The sequence below is a fragment of the Homo sapiens genome, chromosome 18 (genome assembly GCF_000001405.40).
Source record: "Homo sapiens chromosome 18, GRCh38.p14 Primary Assembly".
Classification (NCBI taxonomy): domain Eukaryota; kingdom Metazoa; phylum Chordata; class Mammalia; order Primates; family Hominidae; genus Homo; species Homo sapiens.
In genome coordinates, this window is record NC_000018.10 from 35,329,900 (window position 1) to 35,349,756 (window position 19,857).

Below are 19,857 nucleotides of genomic sequence, written 5' to 3' on the forward strand. Positions count from 1 at the left end.
AGTTTTAAGCAGTGTTTAGGGTTTATTTTTCTCCACAAAGTAGGCAAGATCCTTCCCTAGTACTCTAACCAGGAGTTTTTTCAAACCTCAGCACTACTGCCATTTGGGGCTAATTCATTATTATAAATTGTAGGATACTTAGTAGCATTTCTGGTCTCTACCCACTAAATGCCAGTAGTGCCCATCTCCTCTGGTTGTGACAACCAAAAATGTCTCCTGGGGGACAGAATTGCTTTTGAGAATCACTGCTCTGATGCTCTATGAATTATGAGGTTTTCTACTCTGGCTGATACCATTCCTGTCTCTTTGTGAGTTCCGGTGATTTTTCCCTCTAATCCTTTTGGATAGTTCTTTTCCCAAACTCAGGTAGTCTCCTTACATATATGTTTATTAAGTACTCAACTGAATACTTGAGAGGGACTCTGCAGATCTCCACTGTTGTCTTTCTGTGCACTTATCTCCTCTCTGATACTCTGTCCTGCAAAAGCTAGCCACCTTGGCCTCCCAGGACTTCTTGCTCCATCTTCTCAACTTAAGAAAACTGCCAGTCTCTGCCTGAGCCACCCTCCCTGTGCTGAGGCCTGGAAATTCTCCCCAGGCAAGTAAATGGGCAATCCAAGTTTGCCTCATTTGTTTTTTGTCTCTTGGGAATCCCATCTTCCCATTCTTTGCCTCTGTCTGCTATATTTTGTCTGATATTTTATTTATTCAGGCAGGTTAGATCTGATCCCTGTACTCCATCTTGGCCTGAAGGTTTTTGTGTGATAAAAACAGCATATTTTTATGTTAATTAGAGAATTTCAGAAGACAGGAAAAACTGAAATGTGGGAAAGGTGAGGACTATTGGAGTATGTCTTTCCGAGGTGTGAGAAGACAGCTTGGATCCAGTGGAGAGGTTAGCCTTAGGCAGAAGCAGACAGTTGATCTAAAGTTCAGAGGAAAGAAGGAAGCCGTATATAGACATATAGACACACTTTTTTTTCCTAAATATGTATTTGTTGTGAATAATGGTGTGATATAGATGGGGAGAGGTATATAGATAGAACATTTATATAGGTGTATAGAGAATAAAAAATGTTACTGGGATGTTATTAGGATTATGGATTCGCATGACTTTTTGGGTGATTTTTATTTCTAAACTTTTCCTATTATATTACCTTCATAAGAAAATATGTAAAGAAATATTTTAAGAATTTAGATAAACTAGATGGAGATTTTGTTTTGCTCAGCTGTTCTCAGCACCTTGTCACATTACTCATTTGCTTAAAACCTCTAATGGTCTCTCATTACAAAGAAAAAGTTATAGTTCTATCAATGGCTAACCAGGTCCTCCATGATCCAGCTTCTCCCTGCCACCCTCACCACATTTGTCTTTGGCCTCACCTAATTCCCCCCATGTTCATTCTGCTCTAGCCGTACGGGCCTCTTTGGTTTCTTGCACAAATGAGGCATTGCTCTTACATCAGCTTGCTTTGCAGTTGGTGTTTTCATGCCTGGAACACTCTCCAGTCTCATGGCTTGCTTCCTTATACTATCTTTTCTCCAATGTCACTTTCTCAGTGAAAACCTTCCCTGGCCAGCCTATCTAAATTGCACTATCTTTCCTTCTTGACATTTTGTATCCCTTTCCTATTTTCTCCCTAACCACTTCTCATCATATGACATACAATATGCTTTCTTAAAAAACTGTTTCTCATTTACTTTTGGTTTTCCACTGCCACGTGTAGTTTTTCACACACGCAAGCAACAGATGTAAATCCCATAACAGTGCCTGACCCAGAGTAGGCATTTAAATGTGTTGAATAAAAGCTTGCAAAATGTTTTCCTCAATTTTGAAAGACATCTCTTTGAAAACTCCATCTTAGGAGATGTGATTAATAGAGGTGCCAGGTGACATAGAGCGCTGCTACATTTCTGGCCATAGAAAAGAGCCCACAGGGTGAGGCTGCTCAGGTCTGTGTGTGCTCATTCACGTCTTGAGTCCACAGGCCTGAGAATGAAACAAAGAGCCAGAGAACCATGGAGTTGGGATGGAGGTCATTGGAAGGGCTCCAAGGGTTGTATACAGGGAATGCTTGAGGGGAATCCCCCAAGAACAATGGTAGGAGATGGGTACAGCTCTCAGCAGTGTAACCCTTAAAGTCCCAGGTTAATGAGTCTAGAGGAAGAATAAGAAGAGAACTGCCAAAGAGGCAATTGTGTAAAAAGCTGTTCATCCACATTCCCAACATCAATGTTGTTACTATTGGAATGTAAAGTGTATGTGTGTGGGGTGTGTGTTATAGGGAGAATGGAGTAACAAATGGCAAAAGTTGACACAGGCCAAATCATGGAAGGCCATGCTAATTTTATTAACTTATATAGTGCATAAAGTCTAGAATTTAAAATTACAAAGGTTTTCTACAAATCAATAAGAAAATACAAATAACCTATATTAATCAGAACAGAAACTCAATTCAATTATCTTAAACAAGAAAGGGACTTTATTGGCTCACAAAACTTTAAAGTCCGGAGGTAGGGCAGGCTTTAGGCACAGCTGGATCTAGGGCCTCCAGAAAAATGACATCAGAACTTAGTTCTCTTTCCATTTCTGCTAGCATCCGAGTTTCTCCTCAGACAGACTCTCTCCACATGGCACAAATTCAGGCTTACATGGTCCTTGGTTCCTGGGATCTCCATAAAGCCTTCTTTCCAGTAGTTCCAGCAGAAGTTCTGTTAAGGGCTTTCCTTAGCCTGGCTTAAGTTATATACCCATTCTTTTATCACTGTGGCTAGGAAGCTGTGGGACTCAGGAGGCCAGGCCTGGTCACATGCTCACCTAAGCCACAGGGAATAGGTTCCCCACAAATAAATAAAGGTTGTGTTACCAGAAGATGGGGAAGGAGATGCTGAACAAATAAAAACAATATATCCACACATAACCCAATAGAAAGCAGGTAAGGGATACAAACAATCCACAGTAAACTATAAATGGCCAATAAACATGAAAATAACCCCAATCTCACCATTTTTTTTTATAATCAGGGAAATGCAAAATAAGAAAAGGTTCTTTTTCGCCCAACAGATAAAAACTATCAAGTGTAGGTATGGTTATATGGGGAAATGAACATTCTCCATACACTTGGTGAAAATACAGTTATGAAGGCCTTTGGGAAGACTGAAGGTGGACAGAGAACAAACCCTTTGATCCAAAAATCCACCTTACTGGACTCCAGACTAAAGAAATATTCACACACATGCACAAAGACATCTGAATAGGATGTTTACTTTGGCAATGTAATAGCGAGAGGAAAAAAATTAAGGGAATAAATAATGGCATTTTCATAGTATTTAATCATATTCAACCATTAAAGAAATTTAAAGACCTGTTATCTTTTTTTGAGACCAAAATTTTAAAAAGCTACAGAATATGAGATCCTATTTATGTAAAAAGTGTTTTTATGTGTATGTATATTCGTACGGAAAGGTGACTAGAGGATGTATGTTAAACTGTGGTAAGTGGAATGTGATTGGTAGCATTGGAGAAAAGGGTCTCTCTATTCAAAGAACTGTGTTTTTTATACAATGAGAAGGTAGTCATTAGACTTTCATAATTAAAAAAAGGAAAATGGGCAAAAGCAATTCATAATAGGAAATGCAAATGGCCAAGAAACATGAAAAGATGTTCCTCCTCATTAATATTCAAAGAAAAGAAAGAAATTTTGCCTACCAGATTGGCAAAAATTTTTAAGGATTCAGGGTTGGCAGACTATAGGCAAACAGGCATTCTTACTAATGATGGAGTTGTAAATTGGTGAAATCTTTTTGGTAGTAGTTTTCAAAACTGCAAATGTGAAACCTGATCCAATAAATTTCTAGTTATTCATCCTACAGAAATACCCACACAAGTAGCAAAATACATGTACAGGAATGTTAATTACACTTCTATCTATAATGAACCTAATTATCAATCCATAGGGGATTAAATAAATTACAGAATATTCATGCAATGGAATAGTATATAGTTATGAAAAAAGAACATCTTCAATGTGGGGGGAGAGGAGGCAAGTCTCAGTGTAGTGCATGTGAAATGGGGTTATGTCCTACTTTATACGGTAGCTGAGGATTAAGAGTTAATCCATGATAAAGCACTTCAAATAGTGCCTGTCACAGCAACCACAGGTGTCAGCTGTTAACACATTATTGATTAAATAAGTATATGCCTAAATCTGGAAGAACAAACGAAATTATCATGACTTCTCGGTAACACTGTGAAAGGAAATATCCTTTTTCATTTTACATTTCTGCACTGTAAAAAATTCAAACCAGCAATGTTTAATAGCTTTCACATTTGTTAACCATAAACACAAATTTATCAAGGTTTAATAGCCACCACCCATGGCATGGTGAATATGTCCCTGGAGTCTACAGAACCAGATTTGAATTTTATCTCTAGGCCACATGCAAGTCACATGATCTCTGAATCTTGCTTTCCTAGTCCACAAATCTAAGTGAGATAGGTACGGTGTCTAAGCCAATGCCTAGCATGCAGATTATTTCAGTACATGTAACCCTCCCTTCAATTTACATGAATATGAGACATATTGCTAAAGATCAAGTACCAACTGGGTATGACTACAGAGAGCTTAACCTCCAAGAAAGCCAGAAGAAAAAACCAGCAAATGCTCAGTGGCTACTGGGCAGATATCAGCAATCTGCATGACCTAAAATGACTGCTCATTTGCTAACCAAACAGATACTCTGGCGATGCCACTGCTTGGCACTGCCATATCACCACTTCATCAGAAGCTAGGCACTCCCCCAAATTTCTATGATTATCTGTGTGGGTAATGAATGTGTGGATGGAATTTAAAAATCACTACATAGTATTTAAAATCAATTTGTCTAGTGGGGACTAAGCCTAACCAGAGATAGAAAGTACACATCTCATCATTTCCTCTTCTTGTGTGCCACCATCCAGTTTTTTTTGGTCCAGTCCCTTTTTCCCACAGAGCTTTGCCTTAGCCTCAGAATCCTTTCTGAACAATGCAGATATTAGAGCTGCCAAGACAAAAACAGTATTTGCCAACCCTCATACTACTTTTTCTACACTCACATTACCAAATATCTTTGGCATTTATGACAAATCTACCACAGGGAAGCTTCCTTGTATATAGGAACCGCATACGATCTTAAAAAGCATGACATAATAGCCATTGAGAGGTTGCTCCCTTCTTACCTACTCTGATACAAGAATTCTGTCATTCCAGCCGTCTTCCAAATATGCCACCTGAAAACCTACTTGGAAAGAAGCCAGTTATAAATAAATAAATCACATCATTTATCTTAGAGCAGAGGAGTTTACAGCTTTATTGGACACTGACTTGTTTCCCCTCAGCCACAAAGAGAAAAAGACCCAAACAAAAGTCCCTACATTTTCTTGTATAACTTAAAATACATTATATCATTACTACATATTTATACTTCAATAAATCTTAATCTATAAAGCACATTTTTTATAATTGTTATCAGAAAACCTATAAACAAGCTCCATTCTGCCTCACTTTTCCACCAGCTGGCCTTGCATTTATTACTATGCTTTTTAATAGGCTCATGCAAAATCTCACCTTCCATTTTTAAACTTGATCCAAGCACCAGATATAACCAAAATCTCTGAACTAGGAAATATTTGTATTCACATGGGTCATTTTCCACACAATGATGCCCATTATAAAAAAGCCTCCTCTCATATTCTATATTTTAACTTCCAGAGTTTTCCACTAAACAGTAGAACCACAGTACTTGGAATTCTCAGCCAAGGAGTATATAATCCTACTACTACAATGTATTACTTTAATACATTTTAAAAAATGTGTTAAGACTGAAAATTAAAAAAAAATTCAATTGTGATAGGTTAATAAACTAGTTAATTGTCTAGTTGTTTATTTTTTAAATAGAACAGTCCATTCAACTTAATATGTAGGTACAACCTCAATGCTATTAGAGATTGATTAGTTCTTTAAAAAGATTCACAAACTTCCAAATTGTGGTAAGAGTATCGTGGACTCACCTCTGAACACTGGAGAGCCAGCTAGCTCTTTTGAGCCGAGTCCTCCTCCCCCTCCAAATACAACACCCTGGTAAAAAAAACTACAGTTCTGGGAACCTCACAGGTGACCTCCCCTGAGGAATGCTCAGACAAGGGGAAGAGGCTAACTCACATAAAACAGCAAACCCCTATGATTTACAGTGGAAGAAATACCTACCTACTTATGGTAGGATTACAGTACCTAGCACAGTGCCTTGTCGGTAGAAAATGTTTAATAATAAATGCATGGCTGCTTTTTTAGCCTGACGTTCAACCCTTTTGTACCAAAGGAATAAAAAATAGGTAACCTGATACTTGCCCACCTGTCAGGGAATTTTCTGTCCTTAACAAAGATGAAGGCAAAATAATGATGAACTCTATCATCTTTTTCTAAAAGCCATGACAGACCATTACCCTTATGTTTACATTTGCCTTCAACACTGCCATCCGCTACAAATTTTTCCCTAGTGTTATAATTTCTACCTTCATTATTTTACAACTGTTTATTATTTAGACTGTATGCTTTTTAATAATATATGGGAAAACATTATTTTCATTAGTAAGATGACTCCAAATTATAGAGAGGATGAGTAGCTTTTGAATTTTCCTGCAGGCAAAATATAAATTCTTGATACATTTCAATTCTTAGATCAAAGTATTTGCATATCTTCCCCAATCAAGGTGTTCCATTCACTTTTTGATGTTTTATCACCATCACTTCTTATCTGAGATCTTATGGTTCATTTTGAGGCTCTTAGCCATCCTTTATCCTCTTATTTTCTCAAATGCATATTCAAATTAGGTAAAAGGAAATAAGGGTAAATTTTTAAAAGATGGTTTAAAATGGTTTTCAGACTTTGTAATTCCTGTTGCCTTTTAATATATAAGGGAATGTATCCATATAAAGAACATTTCAATGATCAATGCAGAAATAATGTATTTGTCTTAAAAAAGAAACTTTCAAGAAAGGGACAATGAATCAGGTAGTTCATTATTTGGAGAAGTAATACAGACTATAAACATCACATGGAAAATTTAGGCATTAAGACCTGAATTAAGTTTAAAATTTCAGTTTCTAGGCAGGTATGACACCATTTCTTTCAAGATAAATATCATAATGGTGAGTGAAGATTTTTACATTTCCCAGTGGATTTTCTGACAGTCAATAGGGAAAAAACTATTCTGCATCATTTCATATTTTAAATTTTGTCTTCATTTCTGAAGAAAAAGACCTGAGTGCTGATTCTTTTTTTTTTTTCAATTTCTTAAACTTTCACAACATTCAGAAGTTTTTCTGCATTGTGTCTTCTCTGATGTCTAAAAAGATTTGAGCTTTGACTATACGATTTCCCACACTGAACGCATTCATAAGGTTTCTCCCCAGTATGGATTCTCTGATGATTAATAAGCCCCGAATTCTGGCTAAAGGCTTTCCCACATTCAAGACATTTGTAAGGTTTTTCTCCAGTGTGGACTCTCTGGTGTTGCACAAGAATGGAACTTCGGCTGAATGCTTTCCCACACTCAACACATCCATAAGGTTTCTCCCCACTGTGAATTCTTTGATGAAGAATAAGGGCTGAGCCCTGACTGAAGTGTTTTCCACATTCATCACATATATGTTGTTTCTTTCGAGAGGGATTTCTCTTTCTTTCAAACCTGCCCTTGGGGAAACAGGTTTCTCCATATTTAAAAATTTGAGGAACACCCATATTGAGAGTGCCAGGAACTTCATGGGATTCTAATGCTGAAGGAAGCTCCTGCTTTGGAGCTAGTGCTCCATTTTCAGTCCTACCATCATCATCTGAAATAAACAGAAAATGTAAATATCATTCATTATCTATTAAGGGAAAAGAAACCTAAAAAAAATTTTTTTTTTAATGAACTAAAATAGCTAGCACACATCTATAAACCACTCTGACACTGGTGTTAAGGCCTATTCTCAAAAAAGAAAAAATGAAATTACTCTGAATAACAGTATAACATCATGATATAAGGGATATCTGAATAAAACATAGGCAAGTGGTTTACAAATGGTAGTCAGAAAACAAAGGTCAGAAAGATGGTAGATTCTAAGATGGTTAGGGAGATAGTCAAAATGATGTGGCTAGGTATGGATGAAACTTTGTAAGAATAAAAATAAAATAAAATTGGCCACTAGGAAATCATTATAATGTTCTTTTACTTTGAGAAAGGGAGAAATTACATCAAAATACAAAGATGTAAATTAGAAAAACATGTCAGAAAGTGGCTATTTCTGAAATGAACAAGCCAAGTCAGGTCACAGCCAATGTTAGCCTAAAAGCAGAACACAGGAGTCTTGACAAGAAGGGGCTGAAGATAAGCTGGGGGCCTCCTGTGTTAACCAAAGACATGACATAAAAATTCAGTATGCCCCTAATAAATGAAAGTTTTCCAATAAAAGCAGCTTCTCCCATGTGGTATTTGTCATGGTACTTAGAAAAATCGTTATTTCTAAGCCTCAGTGAAACGTGTCCAATGAAAGAAAAGCCTGAATTACCAACATGGGTTAGCATCACTCACACGCAGGCAGAGATAACAGCAAGTGTCATTTAAGACTTTTCTAAAACTTCATGCCTTAAGGAGTAAAGATCCAGTTCATATAGGGTTAGCAACTGCCTTCAGCGAAGAGGAAAACAGTAAATAATTAACAAAAAGATCAAGTCAGGAGATAAGGCTAAGAGAGAGAGACTGAAAGGTTAGAGGAGGATAGTGAGGCTTGGAGACTTGAAAAACAGAGGAGCGTGAAGATTAAGTGGAGACAAACGGCACACAGGAAACAGAAATTCCCAAGTGTGGAAGAGACTAGACAGCTGAAATAAGGAACGCAGGTGAAAAGTCACTCTAAAATTCAGATGATGAGAAGTTGAAAATATCAGCCCCATATATCAAGAATGATACTTCTCAAACTTTATTGCACAGAAGAATGTCCCATGAAACATGTAAAACTGCAGATTTTCAGCAGACTTCAGCCCCACCCCAAAAGTTGACTGGCTGGCACTGTCCCCTCAGATGTGAAGAAAACCTGCTCAGACCTCATTCAGTGGCATACCAGCACCATCTCCAACTACTTCAAGGAATGATTACTAAAGCAGAGTCAAACAAAATTTCATTTTAGTTCACATAAACATGAGAAAGCAATCTAGCAGTTTTAGGAATATACTGGGCCATATCAAAGGATACACATAAGTATATGGTGTTAATGGCTAATATATTGGGAAAGACTGGTCTCGTGAATTAATACAACTTTGAGCTTTTAAAAAAGATTTTTCTGCATTTAAAGCATGTTATAGCTAAGGAGGCTTTTTTTGCATAAATACTTAGAAAAAGGAAAAAAATTACTCCAAATATTTCTACAAAAGAAGCTTCTTAGAAGAAAATGACTCTAGGTAGACGTTGAAGGAAATCAGAAATAAATATTTAGAAAGATTTCAGTGATATACAACAAAGAGATTAGAAGAGGTTTTCAGGTAAGCTTACTGTACCAATGGAATTAGGCAGGAGATTGAAAGTAAAAGGATGTAAAACAGATGACAAGTAATACTGAATGCAAAATAGAGGGACTTGGTCCATGGGTGGGTGCTGGCTCAAAGTAAGGCAAATGCTAGCCTGACATGGGCAACTCTTTTTAGGAAGGAGACTGAAAGGGAAGAAAAGGCTGAAGATGTTAATGTCTAGGAATAAAAGGTCTGAGGCCAGCAAAATCAACTTAATCAGAAAAAAACTGAGATATTAGATTAAGAGTGATATGATCCCCCCACCAGTGAGAACAAGCAAAGTTCTGAACAAAAGGCCTATACTCTCTTTCACCCTCTAGCCCACACAGAGTTCTGGTCCTCACCACAGTGCCTTAGGGAATGGAGCTCCCAGGATGCCCACTTGAGCTGGTTCTCCACAGCATCAAGCTCAGAACTTGGTAATCCCTGAGCTTCTTCTTGAGATACCATGTCTTCTACTAGTACTTCCCGTTTTCGTCGACGGAGAGAAACCTGGAAACAGAAAGATTTGATTCAGAGAAGGAACTGTAATGAGAATCAGAACTAAAAACACGTAAGAGAAACCCCATGAAACAAATACTGCAGAAGCCTAGATGGCAAAGCGGCACAGATAACAAGGAGTGGTAGGGGAATGGGGGAAAAGGCATAAACATAATTCTAACTTAGTTGAGTGGAATTAATTCAGCAGCTTTGCCTACTACCTATGCCAGTGCTTCTGACACAGGAAATGACACAAGCAGGCTCACCGGTTGTCCAGGGTCATCAAGTTCACTCTCCAAATCCTCCAGCACTGTCACTGCCTCCTCTCCATTCTCTGGATGATGATCTCGAACCCAAGTCTGTAGCTCTTTGGGTAGGATGGCAACAAACTGCTCCAGCACTACCAGCTCCAAGATTTGTTCTTTTGTGTGCGTCTCTGGCCTGAGCCACAGACGGCAAAGTTCTCGGAGCTGGCTCACAGCCTCACGGGGCCCAGGTGAATCCTGGTATCCAAACTGCCTGAATCGCTGTCGGAAAATCTCTGGGTCTGGGAGATGGTTCCAGGGGATACTTGATCCCTCTTCGCCATCAGGATCCTCCTCCAACTTCACTCTCAGAATTTTTTCCTCTTCATCTGGAGTTGGGATGATAAGTATTGAATCTTCTTCCACTGACTGTGCAGACATTCTGATTTATAATATTTCAAGAAAAGACAACTGAGGCAGAATATAAGCCTCAGGGCAATACCCCGTTTTCTTCACAGGCACTCCTGAGGCATAAGAAATAAAAGATATATAAATAAGCAAAAATATCCTAAGAATTTGAACTTATACTGGTAAAAGTAAAAGATACTTGTTCTTTGAGTTAAAAATTCCAATCAATAACCTACACCAGGAATTGGCAAACTACAGCTTCACGGCCAAATCTAGCCTGCCACCCATTTCTGTACAACACTTGCACCAACAATAATTTTCACATTTTTAAATGGCTGTGGTCTTCATCACAGTGCCTTACGGAGCGGAGATCCCTAAAATCAAATGAATACCTAATGATATTTAGGGAATGGAGCTCCCCAAAATCAAATGAATACCTCATGACACGTGAAAATGATATGAAATTAACATGACTGTGTCCATAAATAATTGTACTTACTCATACTTCACGCTACAATAGCAGAGTTGAGTAGTTTCAACAGACTAGATGGCCTAAAAAAAACCCAACACAGTCATGCACTACAAAATGATGTTTGGGTCAATGAAGGACCACCTAGATGACAGTGCTCCCATAAGATTATAATGGAGCTGAAAAATTCAAGATTCACCTAGTGACACTGTAGCTGTTGTAAGGTCAATACATTACTCACATGTTTGTGGTGATGCTGGTGTAAACAAACCTGCTGTGTTGCCAGTTTAACACATACAGTTATGTATGGTACATAAAACTTGATAACAATAATAAACGACTATGTTACTGGTTTATGTATTTACTATACTTTTTATACTATATTATTTTAGAGTGTGCTCCTTCTACTTACTAAATAAAAAAGTTAACTGCAAAATGGCCTCAGGCAGGTCCTTCAGGAGGTATTACAGAAGGCACTGTTATTATGGAGATGACAGCTCCATGTATGTTACTGCTCCTGAAAACCTTCCAGTGGGACAAGATATGGAGGTAGAAGGCAATGATACTGATAATCCAGACCCTGTGTAAGCCTAAGCTAATGTGTTTATCTTAGCTTTTAACAAAAACAGTTCCAAAAGAAAAAAAAAATTGGCCAGGTGCAATGGTTCACACCTGTAATCCCAGCACTATAGGAGGCTGAGGCAGGAGGATCACTAAAGACCAGGAGTTCAAGGCTCCACTGAGCTATGATCACACCACTGCATTCCAGCCTGGGCAACAGAGTATGACCCTGTCTCTAAAAAATGAATTTAAAAATAGCAAAAAGCTGTGCCGGGCACGGTGGCTCAGGCCTGTAATCCCAGCACTTTGGGAGGCTGAGGCAGGCAGATCACGAGGTCAAGAGATCAAGACCATCCTGGCCAACATGGTGAAACCCTGTCTCTACTAAAAATACAAAAATTAGCTGGGCGTGGTGGATTGCGCCTGTAGTCCCAGCTACTGGGGAGATTGAGGCAGGAGAATCTCTTGAACCCGCGAGGTGGAGGCTGCAGTGAGCCAAGATCGCGCCACTGCACTCTAGCCTGGCGACAGAGCGAGACTCTGTCTATAAAAAAAAAAAAGCAAAAAGCTTACAGAATAAGGATATAAATATATTTGTACAGCTGTACAATGTGTTTGTATTTTAAGTGAAGTGTTATCACAAAAGAGTAAAAAAGTTAAAAAAAAATGTAAAAGTTTGTAAGTGAAAAAGTTCCAGTAAGCTAAGGTTAATTATTGAAGAAAAATGTTTTCTTAATAAATTTAGTGTAGCCTAAGTGTTCAGTGTTTATATGGTCTATAGGAATGTACAATAATGTCCCAGGCCTCCAAATTCACCACTCACTCACTGACTTCTTAGAGCAACTTCCAATCCAGCGAGGTCCATTCATGGTAAGTGCCCTGTACAGGCATATCTTTTTTTTTTTTCAAACATTTTATATCATATTTTACTCTTATCTTTTCTATGTTTTGATACACAAATAGTTAGCATTGTGTTACAATTCTCTACAGTATTCAGTACAGCAACATGCCGTACCGGTTTGTAGCCTAGGCGCAATAGGCTATACCAGATAGCCTAAGTGTGTAGTAGGCTACGCCATTTAGGTTTGTGCAAGTACATTCTATGACGTTCACACAAGGATGAAATAGCCTAACATATTTCTCAGACCATAGCACTATCGTTGAGTTATGCATGACCTTATTTACTATATGGCCGCTTACAGAAAAAGTTTGCCAATCATGACCTACTAAGACGACAAACCCTATGTCAATAATCAAAAGAATCCAAGTAAGAACCAGACTACTTCAGTGCTTTCTAAATGTGCCTGACCCTGGAACGCATTATTTCCAATTCAGGATTGGTGTTTCCTGACACACACAAGTCAACTCAAAAGGAAGGTTCGCTTTATTATTATGTGCTTAAAAAAATTTTCTTTACCATTTAAAAAATATTTTTAAGGTGTTTAAGAACTCCTTGGACTTATATGTGAAAAAATGTTCACTTGCTGAGTAGCAGATCACATAATATTGAAAAGATCATATGTGAAAAACATCACATAATTTTGAAAAATTATCTTGCACATAATACGTAAATATTCAGTCTTCCACCACACCATACGTACATTTATATTTATAATGATAGGCATTAATCACAGAAACTTCTATTAAGAAAAGGCACTCGCATAAGCACCTTGACTTCCTGCAGTGGTCCAGTGTCTTGTCCTTACACTGGAGGACTCACAGTTTCCCCAGCTTCTACCTTCAGTGAAACTGTATACTGCTTCTGGACCTTTATTATTTGCACGATCATGCCCGTGCTGTTGTTTACGACACATACTAGCAATGAGCCATTCAGCCTATTTATTTATTCAGGGCCCAAAATCTGAACAATAACAACTTAAAAAAACTTATTGTAACCCAAGCAAGATGAAGACTAGAATCAGAAAAGGCCTTATCAGACAAGTAATACATACTGGTTTAATTAAATACCCTGGAGTGTGGTGGCCTTATACATAAGGTCTAGCCAACATTCATTCGTTCCTATTCCAAGACCCTGCTTATCAACGGTGCAAGTATTTCTACATAATTTTCTCTTCCTTTTATGCTGTAGAGCATACCGCTTGTGGGAAATGGAGGGAAGGCCCACGGTCCCGACAATGTTTGGGCAGGGTACCTCGTCCCAGGTGGATCGCCCACCTTACTGCTGCATAGACCTGCTGTGTATCCCGGCCCCGGCCCCGGCCCCGGCCCGACGTCCTCTAGCCCCTCTTCCCAGCACTCAGGACCGCGGATTTCAGATGACCAAAGGCCACCCTGTGACAACAGCGTCGGAACCACGGCACTTCCGCCTGCGGCCGGTGAGACTACAAATCCCAGAAGCCCCGCGCAAGTCTCGTCCCACTACCACCCCCTCCCATCACGACTCCCAGAACCCTCCGCGAGACGCCAGGGCCTCGAAATAGAACAAAACCGGCCGGTGGGGGAGGGGGAAGGTGAGGGTCTCGGAGGACACAGGGGGTTAGAGAGCTCTCTGCAAATGCCGAAGACCCAAGCAGGCCTGCCGCCTACCCCTCCCCGCCCCACAACTGCTAGGCGCGGAGACCGCGGCCTGTTCCCCGCGCCTCCCGGGAAGCTGAGGAAGGTCCCGGACAGGCTTCCCCGCCGGCTCCTGCTAAGAGGTCCGCAGACCCTAGCCCGGTGTCCCCCCTCCCTCTCATAACGTTCCCCGCACACCGGCGCAAACCTCCGGCTCAGGAACCGCAGCAGCTTCGCTGTCCACGGCAGACGCAGAAACGCCGTTCACAAGCCTTTTCCCAGAAGCCCCCGGCGCGGGCTGCTTCCGGTCTGCGGGCCTGAGGAGGCGGGGAGAGGTAAAGCCCACGTTGCCATGGAGAAGCGCCCCGGGCGGGGGAGGGGCGGCCCCACGACAATGACCGCATTGAGGCTGCGCTTGGCCTCGCGCCTCTCCTCGAACAGCCCAGCGTCCTCTGGACCGTTTAAAAGAAAACATAAAGAGGACTCTACCATTAAGATAGTCCTTACAATTTCGCAAGCCCTTTCACGTGCATTATCTTGTGGATCCTCTCAGTAATCCCCTGCAAGAAGGAATGAAAGTGAGTGTTTGTGAAAGCTTACTACATTGTGCCAGGCGCTCTCGTCGTGCTTTACATGTCATTTTTTTTTCCACAAATAAATGATGTAGGAACTTTCATTATCCCCATTTCACAGCTGAGATAGTTGAGGCACAAATACAGTAAATAACCTGACAAGAGCTCACAACTCATTTGTGGGTAGCAAGATTTGAAACCAAGACGTGATTCAAATCTTTGGCTCCCACTAGTTATGTCATGGAGCTTTATTCCGACCTATTTATCTGTCAGGAAAACTAGATAAGACAGGTTAAGAGTTTTGGCAGTGATGTCACGGTGAATTTGTAGAATGCATGGTCATCTTAAAGCTGGGCATTTTATACCATAAAACAACTGCTGACGCGATCATTTAAAATTACAAATCAGACCACTTCACTCCCCTATTTAAAGCCCTCCAATTTATGTCATAATAATTTATGACATAAAAACTCCTTATAATGGCCTGTAAGTCCCCTGTGGTCTGTTGCCTGCCCGCACCCCCAGACCCTGGCGCCCCCAGTCACCTCAGCTCCTCGGCTCATTGTGGCCCAAGATCCTCAGCCTCACCACCTGCCTTTCATGGCGCATGACCCTTCATGGCACTGTTATTAATGGAAGTGATCTCATTTATTTACTTGTTTTATTTTTTGTTTTGTTTTGTCTTTAAGTCCCTTAAGGGCAGGGACCTTGTCTGTCTTGCTCACCACAGTATCCCATCCTAGATCCTGGAAGCTGACTGCCTGGTAAATAGAGAACTCAATAAATATTTGTTGAATAAATAAATGAATTGTGGGATGGTTACATTGCTGCCTTTAGCTAGGTCACATGATTGGCATCAGACACCACACAAAGGAGCCCTGTTGTTTAAGGACTGGTCAAAAGTGTAGATCCAGCCTAACATAAGCATTTCAAGATCCTCAGGCTTTGACTTTTTGCCTCATTGGAGAAAATGCCCTCTGAAAAGTGCCGTCAGGCTCCGCTGGATTCGTGCATGAGAGAGCAAGTGAGCGAGCAGCTGATGGTATACCACTGCTTTTCATTCCGACCAGAGCTCTTCTCACAACCCCTGCTAACACTTCTCTCCATTGCAGGAAGCTTCAGAAGTACAGCCTTTTCACTCTGCTACTTGGATACGGCCCCTAAGCAACTTGGCTGCTCTTCCCAACCTTTCCCTCTTATCTGATTTGTAAAGGCTAGCTGAAGGCATTTTTGTTTTAAGAGTTTTTACATCTAATTAATGTTGGAAAACAAAAATAATAAATCTGAAACCTAACCTTGAGGAAGTTAAAAATGTTGCAAAATTTTACAAAACCCTTTTCCTGTGATTATATTGTTTGTTTTGTTTTTGAGACAGGGTCTTGCTCTGTCACCCAGGCTGTAGGGCAATGGTGCAGTCTTGGCTCACTGCAGCTTCAACCTCCCAGACTCAGTGATCCTCCCGCCTCAGCCTCCTAACTGGGCATTTTATACCATAAAACAGCTGTTGATGCAATCATTTAAAATTACAAATCAAACCACTTCATTCTCCTATTTAAAGGCCTCCATTTTATGCTGTAATAATTTATCTTGAAATGCTTATGGAAGGCTGGACTTACACTTTTGATAAGTCCTTAAACAACAGGTGTGCTCCACCATGCCCAGCTAATTTGTTTGTTTGTTTGTTTGTTTTTCAGAGATGAGTTCTTCCTATGTTTCCCAGGCTGCTCTCCAACTCCTGGGCACAAGTGACCCTCCTGCCTTGGCCTCCTAAATTGCTAGGATTGCAGGCATGAGCCACCGTGCCTGGCCTCCATTCTATTATTATTAATTATTTGTAAACTACTAAATGGAAACCACAGTAAGGTTTTCCTCACTAAGTTACTCCTTTGAGGGCAGGGGCTACTAACACCCGCTTTGAAACACCATCCTTCTGAGGTCCTCTGGGATTTTTTCCTGAATGGTGGCCCTTGTTGCCATCTTAAAGATCTAGTCAAGATAAAACATGTTCCTCTGGACAACCTGAATGGAGGGAGCAGCTTCATACCCGGGCCTGACAACCTTGCACATATCCACATAGGCCACATAGGCAATGCCTGAACCACAGCTGATCTGAGTCTTGGCAGAACACCTTGGGATCTTCCCAGAAGATGAGTGCATGAGAGGCTTGTAAGCAGCTAGTGCAAGGCCATTTCCCACTCAGCTCTCTGTCTTCCAAAGAGACTATCATGAGGCAGTTTCTATTGCTTCCTGGGTTCCAACGAGCCATTCTGCCTTACCCTCTTAGAGTACAGCTGCAGGTTATAACAAGGCTTAGCTGCAGCATGGCATTAACCCCTCAGCAACAAGGTGTCCACAGTGTATGCTGTAGTCATCCAGCCCCTTCTGTTTTGGTGTCATCATTTTGGTATCTGAGACAAAAGCTCATGGAGAGCTGGCACTTGCTTTTGCTTTCAATGTCTGTGCAAATAATAATATGTCTAAATTCAAAAAGGGTTCATTTCTTTACCAGCCAAATCTTTCAACCTTGCCTTGATACCAAACATCTGATTCATTAATTAATGGTAAAACGAACAAAATGACCAGACAGATACTACCTGGGTACCAGAGATAATAGAGATGAATAAAATGAAGTCATGATTCCGTCTTTGTTTTTCCCTTTAAAAGAGATGAGATCTCACTCTGTTGCCCAGGCTGGAGTGCAGTGGCATAATCACAGCTTGCTGCAGCCTGGAACTCCTGGTAGGGATCCTCCCGCCTCAGCCTTCTAAAACGCTAGGAGTACAGTTGTGAGCCACCATGTCCAGTTTGATTCCTTCTTTTAACATTACCATCTTGTTAAGGAAATAAACAACAACAACAGAAAAAAACAAGTATTCACAAGGCAGTGTAGAAGTGCTACAGTAGAGAAAAGCAGAAGGCCTGTAAGGGCTCCTAAATGAGATAGTGTGCTAAGAGGGAAGGGAGGCACCCTGAAATGGAGGAAGCCAGCCAGAAAAGTTTTCAGGCTGGGCATAGTGGCCTGCACCTTTGGTCCCAGGTACTCAGGAGACTGAGGTGGGAGGATTTCTTGAACCTGAGGGGTTGAGGATGCAGTGAGCTCTGATCGCATCACTGTACTTAAGCCTTGTGGACAGAGTGAGATCCTGATCAAAAAAAAAAAAAAAGTGTTCACACTGGAAGGAAAGCATAGACCTTCAGATTTGGTGTTATCAGATTCCATCCAAGACTGATTTTTTTTCCAGGCTTTGGAGCTCTCAGTCCCCTTCAGCTCAAAAGTATCTCCCTCTGGGCACTTTAAGTACATTGCTTAAAGATTCCATTTTAGCTAGTAAGTATACAGTATGAGGAGTCTTTTGATTGCAAGTGACTGAAAACCTAATAGGCAAGCATCGTTAGCTTCCCACACAAAGTGCTTTCCCTTGCTTCTAATACACTCCTGATTTTTTTGGATGGAGAGGGGGAACAGTGTGCCCAGCTGTAAGCAATAAAGTGTAATTGAGCTAAGCTATCCATGACCATTCTGCTTCCCTGTGCCAGACCCTCGCTTTGCCTTGCTGGCACCGAGGAATGAGTATGTGATTCATTTCTGGTCCATGAGATATAAGGGGAAATGGTTTGTATCTTTGAAGAAATCTGTCTAATTCATTTAAGTTGTCAGATTTATTGGCATAAAGTTGTTCACAATTATTTCCTTAATATCATTAATGTGAGTTCCTTAATATCTTTTTAATGTTTGTAGGGATGTCCCCTCTTTCATTCCTGACATTGCTAATTTCTGGTTTCTTTTTTCTTAATCAAGACTTCAAGTTTTGCTTGAGGCTTATCAATTTTATTAATTTTTCAAAGAATCAACTTTTGGCTTTGTTTATTTGTTTCATTATTTGTTCTCTATTTATGGAGTTCTTCTCTTAATAAAATTAACAGACAGCAAAATATGGCACTTTTGGGGGGGCAGATATTTCTGAGTTTTAGATTTGTGAAACGACCACCAAAATCATGACACAGAATAGTTCCATCATTCTATAAAACTCCATCAAGTTGTACTCATGCCTTCGCCACATCCCAATTCATGGCAACCACAGATTTGTCATCTGTCACAATAGTATTGACTTGTCCAGAATGTAATAAAAATGGAATCATAAAGTATGTTATCTTTTAAGGCTGGTTTCTTTGATTCATCATAATGCCTTTGAGATTCATCTGTGTTGTCACATGTATCAATAGTCGATTCCAGTCTATTACTGAGTAATATTCCACTTGTATCTATCATAGTTTGTTTATCCATTCAACCACTGAAGGACTTTGGGGTTGTTTCTGGATTTGGGTGATTATGAATAGAACTACTATAAATATTCATGGACAGAGGCTAGGCGTGGTGGCTCATGCCTGTAATCCCAGCACTTTGGGAGGCCAAGGCAGGCGGATCACCTAAGGTCAGGAGTTCGACCAGCCTGGCCAACATGGTGAAACCCTGTCTCTACTAAACTAAAAATTAGCCGGGCATGGTGGCACGTGCCTGTAATCCCAGCTACTTGGGAGGCTTAGATAGGAGAATCGCTTGAACCTGGGAGGCGGAGGTTGCAGTGAGCCGAGATTGCGCCATTGCACTCCAGCTTGGGCGACAGAGTGCGACTCTGTCTCAAAAAAAAAAAAAAAAATTCATGGACAGGTTTTTATATGAACATAGATTTTATTTCTCTAGAGTAAATATCTAGAGGTGGGATTGGTGGGTCATATGGTAAGTACATGGTTAACTTTCAAGGAAACTGCTGAACTGTTTTCCAGAGTGTCTGCACCATTTTGCACCACCAGCAATGCATGAGTGCTCCAAATGCTCCCCATCCTTAACAGCACTTGGTATTGTCTTTTGCTGCTGCCATTTATCCATTCTAATGTATGTGTTGTCATAGCTCATCATGGTTTTAATTTGCATTTCCCTAAAGGCTAATGATGTTGGACAACTTTTCAGGTGCTTTTTGCCACCCATAAGTACTCTTTTATGAAGTGTCTGCTCAAGTCTCCC

At 40.3% G+C, this 19,857-nt stretch overlaps 1 protein-coding gene and 1 long non-coding RNA gene across 4 annotated transcripts, besides 2 other annotated features; one reads left to right on the forward strand and one right to left on the reverse strand.

The window, feature by feature from the left end:
* Positions 1 to 2,327: 2,327 nt before the first annotated feature.
* On the reverse strand, positions 2,328 to 14,521 carry ZNF24 (zinc finger protein 24). Of its 3 annotated transcripts, none has more exons than NM_001375815.1 (4): positions 14,471 to 14,521; positions 10,332 to 10,834; positions 9,930 to 10,077; positions 2,328 to 7,871 (listed from the first exon to the last, which is right to left on the reverse strand). In NM_001375815.1, the coding sequence occupies exons 2-4, from the start codon at positions 10,749 to 10,751 to the stop codon at positions 7,333 to 7,335; spliced, it is 1,107 nt and encodes a 368-aa protein (NP_001362744.1). In that variant the 5' UTR covers positions 10,752 to 10,834; positions 14,471 to 14,521; the 3' UTR covers positions 2,328 to 7,332. The 3 variants fall into 3 exon arrangements, with proteins under 3 accessions (NP_001362744.1, NP_001295052.1, NP_008896.2); NM_001308123.2 differs by having other exon boundaries at positions 2,328 to 9,174; NM_006965.4 differs by having other exon boundaries at positions 14,461 to 14,521.
* Positions 13,839 to 13,898: an enhancer, noted in NCBI's record as "active region_13223". NCBI's record gives its function as "activates an Ori minimal core promoter by ATAC-STARR-seq in GM12878 lymphoblastoid cells {active_cell/tissue: GM12878}" and the evidence as "EXISTENCE:reporter gene assay evidence [ECO:0000049][PMID:35858748]".
* On the forward strand, positions 14,155 to 18,980 carry LOC124904283 (uncharacterized). Its single transcript, XR_007066337.1, has 2 exons — positions 14,155 to 14,840; positions 16,529 to 18,980. It is a non-coding gene; the product is annotated as an uncharacterized LOC124904283 (long non-coding RNA).
* Positions 14,579 to 14,748: a silencer, noted in NCBI's record as "silent region_9396". NCBI's record gives its function as "represses an Ori minimal core promoter by ATAC-STARR-seq in GM12878 lymphoblastoid cells {active_cell/tissue: GM12878}" and the evidence as "EXISTENCE:reporter gene assay evidence [ECO:0000049][PMID:35858748]".
* Positions 18,981 to 19,857: the final 877 nt, after the last annotated feature.

Excerpts from the sequence above, each read along its gene's own strand:
- ZNF24 (NM_001375815.1), bottom strand. The coding sequence starts at position 10,751 with ATGTCTGCACAGTCAGTGGAAGAAGATTCAATACTTATCATCCCAACT. Across the intron at positions 10,078-10,331 it reads TTGATGACCCTGGACAACCG|GTTTCTCTCCGTCGACGAAA; the intron begins GTGAGCCTGCTT and ends TTCTGTTTCCAG. Across the intron at positions 7,872-9,929 it reads CCATTCCCTAAGGCACTGTG|ATGATGATGGTAGGACTGAA; the intron begins GTGAGGACCAGA and ends TGTTTATTTCAG.